The following is a 6,395-nucleotide window of genomic DNA, read 5'->3' as shown; positions in this document are numbered from 1 at the left end:
ACTAGTAAACAACAACAAAAAAGAATATGATTTTTGCACAAACAAATAAATCTCAAAACCGTTAAGCGCAGTGCAAGAAGCCAGACTCAGGAGACTACATACCATATGATTCTATTTTTATGACATTCCAGAAAAGGCAAAACTGTGGTGACAGAAATCAGATCAGTGGTTGCCAAAGAGTGGAGGTGTGAAAACAGGGTCAAATGTTATGTGACAGAAGGCAATTATGGTGGGTGATGAACATATTCTATACCTTGATTGTGGTGGTGGTTACATGACTACATGCATTTGTCAAAACTCATCAAACTGTACATTTAAAACACATGAATTTGGCTGCGGCGACGGCAACATGGAGAGCGGGGCCTATGGCGCTGCCAAAGGCGGGCGGCTCCTTCCACCTGCGGGCGCTTCCTGACGCAACCGCAGGTGGTGGTGAGCGCTGCGTGCAGGGTCTTCGCCTTGATCGTGTTCTCCTGCATCTATGACAAGGGCTACAGCAAGTCTAAGCAGAGGTACTGCGTTTTCAACCATAACGAGGACGCCTTCCGCTACCGCAATGCCATCAGGGTGCTGGCCTTCCAGGCCTCGGCCTCCTTGGTGGTCGACGTTTATTTTCCCCAGATCATTAATGCCACTGACCGCAAGTACCTGGTCGTGGGTGACCTGCTCTTCTCAGCTCTCTGAGCCTTCCTGTGGTTTGTTGGTTTCTACTTCCTCACTAACCAGTGGGCGGCCACCCAACCGGAGGACGTGCTGGTGGGGGCCAACTCCGCGCAGGCAGCCATCACCTTCAGCTTCTTTTCCATCTTCTCCTGGGGCGTGCTGGCCTTCCTGGCCTACCGGCACTACAAGGCTGGCGTGGACTTCATCCAGAACTACGTCGACTCCACCCTGGACCCCAACACTGCCTACGCCTCCTACCCAGGTGCATCTGTGGACAACTACCAGCATCTGCCCTTCACCCAGAATGCGGAGACCACTGAGGGCTACCAGCCGCCCCCTGTGTACTGAGTGGCTGAGTGCCGTTTGGGGTGGGAAGGGGGGCAGAGAGGACCCTCCCCTCTGCCCTGGACTTTCCCACGAGCCTCCTGGAACTGCCAGCCCCCCTCCTTCGCCTGTCACGTCCTGTGCGATTGACACACAGCTAAGGAGCCTCCCAGCCTCGGGGTCTGGCAGAGCCACACCCCAAGTGCCCGCACACAGATGGCTTCAGTCAGCCACTCACTCTTCCATGACACTTTTAGGAAAGGGTTTTTAGCTAGTGTTTCTCCTTGCTTTTAATGACCCCGGCCCCTCCTGGAGTGGCTAGAAGCCAGCAGGCACCCATGTGCTACTGACAAGTGCCTCAGCTTCCCCCCAGCCCAGGTCAGGCTGTGGGAGTCGCTGTTATCTGCGTTCTCTGCCAAAGACTCGGGGGAGCCCTCACACCTGCCCTGTGCAGTGGGGCGGGACCAGGCTCCTGCGTCCTCACTCAGGTTTGCTCCCCCTATCCCCACTGCTGTATGATCTGGGGGCCACCACCCTGTGCCAGTGGTCTCTGGGCTGCCTCCCATGGTGTGGGGGTGGGGCCGGTGCCCACAACACTTCCTCCTTGCTCCCACTCCTGGCAGCAGGGAAGAGCTTTGCCTGACAACACCCAGCTTTATGTAAATATTATGCAGTTGTTACTTAAGAAGCGTGAGGAGGGCAGGGGTGCCCCATGGCTCCCAGACTCTGTCTGTGCTGAATGTATTATAAAGCCTTAGGGGAGATGCCCCGCCCTGGGATGCTGTTTGGAGATGGAATAAATGTTTTCTCATTCCAAAAAAAAAAAAAAAAAAAAAAACATGAATTTTATGGTTTTTTAAATGTGTTTATACCCAATAAAGCTGATTAAAATTTCTAAAAATATTCTGTTCATTTCTACCTTTTACTCCCCTCACATTCTGTAGTAGTTATTAGTGCTGTTCATCAAAGATTCCCAGCTCCCACTTTCCAAGCACATAATGGGTTTGCACTTCTTGGTTCTCTTGTGATTGGATGGAGCCATGTAACTAATTATGGCCATTGAGTCGTGAGAGAAGTGATATCACTTCCCTATGGGAAAGCTTATATGACCATGCAACGAGCTCCAGGACGCTCCCTATCCCTAGGCCAACAACCAGCAATTTTGAGATTATGGCTGCTCTGTCAGCATGAGCTTTGATAGACTCCAAAGTTTCCTTCTGAGCTAAATAGATATGGAACATGAATAAGAAATAAATTCTTGCTGTTTGAAGCCACTGAGATTTTAGGATTGTTTGATGCCACTGTATAATTTTTATTTTCCAGGATAATAAAGAAGATGGTACCTAGAATTGCTGGGGGTGCCATTTAAAGAATTATATACCAGTGTACGTATGTAGATAGATACTACTTACATACATGCTTAGGAGAGGCAAGGAATTTTTTTTTTTTTTTTTTTTTTACCAGAGTCTGGGAGAATGCTTTCCAGATTTATATGAGGGTGAAATATTTGGTTAACTGTTACCTAAGAAAACTTGGAAGGCAGATTTATGTTCTGAATTAGTTCATAGGCCTGGGGAAGAGGTTGAAAAACAGAAGGCATTTGTTAATTATTATCGTTATTATTATTATTTTTTTGAGAAGGAGTTTCACTCTTGTCACCCAGGCTAGAGTGCAGTGGTGCAATCTCGACTCACTGCAACCTCCGCCTCCCGGGTTCAAGCAATTCTCTTGCCTCAGCCTCCCCAGTAGCTGGGATTACAGGTGCCTGCCATATTAATTATTATTAAATGCATTTGAGAAACCATTAAATAAAGGCAAGAGTTCAGTTTATGAGAAGAATAAAAGAGAATAGAGAGAGTTCAGAAATTCAGGGACTTGAAGATTTTGAAAAAGTAACTTTCTCATCCGCAATTGGCAAAAGAAGAAATCGGGAAGACCTTTGGGTGAAAGTCCAAACAAAAATTTGACACCCCAGTTTCTTTTAACTGAACAACATTGCTCAGGAAAAAGATAATGAAAGCATGACTTTCCCACCAGAGCCTGACAGACTCATGTACCCACAAGCAAATTGAGAGAGACATGAGAATGAGAAAGCCTGGGAATAGTGCAAATGTAACATGCATGTCTAGAAAATAACTTGAGTGAGGCTACTGGCACATTGGTGTTGATAGGAGTCAAACAGATAAAAAGCTTGCTACACTTTTGGAAGCATCATGAAGCAACAATCTGGGGAGGGACTTGTTCTTCACATAGAGGGCACATGGAACAGTGATGTAGCAGACACTTTGGAGTGTGCCTGTTATGGCAGTTCTAGAATATGGCCACACATTCTTTGACCCTCTTTTTATCTGTGCTTGTTACTGTTTCAACCAATAGAGCACAACAGAAGTGACACTATGTTCCTTGTTCACTGGAACACTCATTTTTAGAGCCCCGAGCTGCCATGTAAGAGGCCCATCTTACCTGAAGAAACCCAAGTCACAGGGGAAGCTACTCATCTAGCTGTTAGGTCAACAGTGCCATCTAAGCACATCCTGCAGCCATTTCAGCCCAAGCATAGAATACATGAGTGAAGAAGCCATCTCTGAGGTGAATCCTCCAACCCAGCTCTTTATCAGCACCCCACCATTCAATCCATCCCAGCTGAGACCCAGATATCATGGAGCAGAGAAAAGAATGGCACACAGTGCTCTTTCCAAACTTCTGACCTACAAAAACCGTGAGCAGAGTAAAATTTTGTATTTTACACCATTTGTTGAGGTGATTTTTTAGGTAACAATAGATGTTATGGGCTGAAAAGTGTGTCCCCTAAATTTATATGTTGAAGCTCTAACCCCTAGTACCTCTGACTGTAACTCTGTTTGGAGATAGGGCCTCTAAAGAGGTAATTAAGTTAAAATGAGGCTATTTGGGTGGGCCCTAATCCAATTTGACTGGTGTCCTTATAAGAAGGAAAGATTAGGGTGCACAGAGAGGCACCAGAGATGAGTGAATACAGAAGAAAGAGCATGTGAGGACGCATTGAGAAGGCACCCATCTGCACACCAAGGAAAGAGGCCTCAGATGAAACCAAACCTGCCAATGCTTTGATCTTGAACTTTGATATAGTTTGGATATTTATCACCTCCAAATTGCATTTTGAAGTTTGATGCCCAGCCAGCCAGCATGGTGACTCATACTTGTAATTCCAGCCCTTTGGGAAGCCAAGGCAGGAGGATTGCTTGAGGCCAGGAGTTTGAGACCAGAGTGAGCAACATGGCAAGATCCCATCTTTACAGAAAAATTTAAAAATTAGCTGGTCATGGTGCCATGCACTTGTAGTCCTAGCTACTTGGGAGGCTAAGGTGGGAGGATGCTTGAGCCCAGGAGTTCAAGGCTTCCGTGAGCTATGATTGTACCACCACACTCTGGCCTGTGTGACAGAGCAACACCCTGTCTCAAAAAATAAAAAGCAAGAAATTCAGCCAGGTGCAGTGGCTCACGCCTGTAATCCTAACACTTTGGGAGGCTGAGGCGGGTGGATCACTTGAGGTCAGGAGGAGTTCAAGTCTAGCCTGACCAATATGGCAAAACCCCATCTCTTCTAAAAATACAAAAATCAGCCAGTCATGGTGGCATGCACCTGTAATCCCAGCTACCCAGGAGGCTGAGGCACGAGAATCACTTGAACCCAGGAGGCGGAGGTTGCAGTGAACCGAGATCGAGCAACACTGCACTTCAGCCTGGGCAACAGAGCAAGACTCTGTCTCAAAAGAAAAAAAAAAAAGAAAAAAATTTTATTCCCAATGTTGGAGGTCATCATGAATGGCTTGGTGCCATTCTTGTGGGATTGAGTCCTTATTCTTAGTTCCTACAAGATATGGCTATTAGAAGGAGCCTGATATCTCCTTCTCTCATTCTCTCCCTTGCTTCTTTCCTCTCACCATGTGATGTTGGCTCCCCTTCACCTTCTGCCATGAGTGGAAACTCCCTGAGGCCCTCACCAGAAGCAGATGCTAACAACATGTTTCCCATACAGCCTGCAGAACCATAAGCCAAATAAACTCATTTTCTTTATAAATCATCCAGCCACAGGTATTCCTTTTTAGCAACACAAACAGACTAAGACAGACTTCTAGCTTCCAAACTGTGAGAAATAAATTTCTGATGTTTAAGTCACTCAGTCTGTGATACTTTGTTATGGCAGCTCTAGCAAACTAACATATACAGATTACTGGAACCACTGCCAAGCTCAAGAAAAATCTTTTCTCCCCCATTTCCAGCCAACTCTGCCAAATACACTAAGTGAGACTTCAGTATCCTTTTTTTTTTTTTTTTAAACTATGTGACCTTCATCCTTAACATTTACTTAAAATCTAGGCTTGGGCTCATTACTAAAGCTTAAAGAATGGGATCCTCTCAGATGGAAATTGGTTTTAGGATTCAGAGAGAGCTAGGGAATTTCCTCAATGTGGGCCCAGGAGTAGAAAAATCGGAGGTGATCTCATGGAGCAGACACTTAGGAATACGCAGGTAAAACCGACTGGGCAAGTTCTCTAAGATTTTTGCTTTTTCTAATCTAGTAGAACTTTTTTGAGGGGCAGTTATAGTCAGTCTATTCTGAGAGATAGCCAAGCATCCTTATTGTAAACTCTCAATCTTGGTTAAGTTAGCTCCAGTTGGTTTCTGTGACTTGCAATCAGGAAATCCTAAATAATCCAAGTGCCAGTTTGGGCCTAATAACTGCAGACATCCATGGGATGGGGGCCTAGACAGAAACATGTGAGGGGACCCCTATTCCCAGCTCTCAACTCACCCCTAACATGCCCAGAAATGACTGGAGAGACCTTTGGGGAGGTCAAGAGGTCTTACAGGAGCACGTGGGCAAGATGGGTCAGAGAAATTTGAGTTATTACGGTAAATGTGACCTTATTTATCCTCACAGCCTTCGGAGGCCTGAGGAAATTTGAGTTACAGAGAGATAGATGAAAAAAATTGCAGGAATCTGTGACAACAGTGCCAGGCAGACTAAAACCCAGCATGAACTGGGGTTTCCAAAAAGTGCTAAAGAAAAAAGTCACTTCAGGAAGAAACACAAGACAAATTAAATCCTCTGGCAGTGTACTATGAAATGGCTGGCCACGATGAAAAATCAATAAATCAATCAAAAATTTTTCAGGAAGAAGCTTCATGAGCCAAAAAGGAAGGCCTCTGATCCAGCTGCTAATAGGAGAGGAAAAGGAAGCAGACCACAATTATTCTTTGTCGAGCCTGACCTAAGCCTAGTCAGGCTATAGCAGGCCCAGACTCCACAATGGATTGGTTCTGTGATGGGATGAGGAGAAGGAGAAATGCTGGGAAGCCTGGCTTGGAGAGAATCCCAGAGGTCAATACACTAGCCAGCAACTCCATCCTAGCCAATGACTCAG

General features: G+C 45.8%; 1 pseudogene; it reads left to right on the top strand.

The window, feature by feature from the left end:
• On the top strand, positions 333-1,801 carry SYNGR2P2 (synaptogyrin 2 pseudogene 2; annotated as a pseudogene).

This window comes from Homo sapiens, chromosome 9 (genome assembly GCF_000001405.40).
Source record: "Homo sapiens chromosome 9, GRCh38.p14 Primary Assembly".
Taxonomy (NCBI): domain Eukaryota; kingdom Metazoa; phylum Chordata; class Mammalia; order Primates; family Hominidae; genus Homo; species Homo sapiens.
This window is presented reverse-complemented; position numbering and strand designations above follow the sequence as displayed.